Genomic DNA, 1,111 nt, shown 5'->3' on the forward strand with positions numbered 1-1,111 from the left:
GAAAATGAGGTCCAGGGACCAGCTGCATCAATATCACCTGGATTTGTTGGAAATGCAGAGTCCCAGGCCTCCCCCTAGACCCTCTGAATTAGAGTCTGCATTTTAGCCAATCCTAGGCAATTTATAGGCCCAGATCCAAACTTTTGCTCTGACACCTAATCTAACCCCCTTCACTCTCTCCCCCTCTCTTTGTTCTTCTATCCAGGGCCGCTTGCCTCAAGCTTCCCCTGTGGCTGGTTCCATTTCCAGCAGAGCTTTTATCACTAATTATCTTGCTAAATCTTTTGCTTACTTGTCAATGGTTTGACTCTCCCTGCTAAAAAACAGAAGCTCTGAAGCCAGGGACCCTAACCGACCTGCTCACTGTTGCATTCTCAGCGTCTTAGAACAGTGACTGATGTAAGCTGGTTCTCAAGAAGTATTTGTTGAGCCAAAGATAAACAAAAGCAGAAAGCAGAGAATTCTTCCCCCCCCCCCCCGCACCCAAAGAAAGGAGTGTAGAGCTGTGTAAAGAGGAAGGAAAAGAAAGAATTCTAAGAGCCAAGTCTAAGCACCACCCCTGGTCACAGGGTCTGGGTTCTTCTAAAAACACCATAGCCACTGATGTCCTAATCCCTGTGGAAGACTCTGGAAATCACAGTTGCAGTCGTTTGTAAGCTCCTTCTGTCAAAACAGAGTCTATAACCCCACCGCTTGAATCTGGGCTTGCCTTGTGACTTGCTTTGACTAATAGAAAATGGTGGAAATGGCATTGAGTAAATTCCAGAATCTGGGTATTAAGAAATTTTCAGCTCCCACTTCTATTGAAACCCAGGCACCATGCTGTCAGGAAGCTGATCTAGACCACTGGAGGAAGTGGGGCCACATGAAGAACTGAGGCCCCAGCCAAGAGCCAGAACCAACTATTAGATGTGTGAGGAAAGCGGCCTTGGACATCCCAGCCTCAGTCACACCTCCAGCTGAATGCAGCCACAAGAGTGGCCCCAGCCAACACCACACAGAACAGAAACGAACGTTCTCTGCTGAGCCCTGTGCAAATCACAAAATTGTGAGCAAATAAATGGTTGTTGTTAAAGACGTGATCCTGTTATAACAAAAGATGATTGAAGTA

At 46.7% G+C, this 1,111-nt stretch overlaps 1 annotated feature.

Annotated features, from left to right (window-relative positions):
* Positions 1-711: an enhancer, noted in NCBI's record as "NANOG-H3K4me1 hESC enhancer chr12:116329236-116329946 (GRCh37/hg19 assembly coordinates)". NCBI's record gives its function as "activates a minimal SCP1, AML or CMV promoter by ChIP-STARR-seq in naive H9 embryonic stem cells {active_cell/tissue: H9 hESC(naive)}" and the evidence as "EXISTENCE:reporter gene assay evidence [ECO:0000049][PMID:30033119]".

Source organism: Homo sapiens, chromosome 12 (assembly GCF_000001405.40).
Source record: "Homo sapiens chromosome 12, GRCh38.p14 Primary Assembly".
Taxonomy (NCBI): domain Eukaryota; kingdom Metazoa; phylum Chordata; class Mammalia; order Primates; family Hominidae; genus Homo; species Homo sapiens.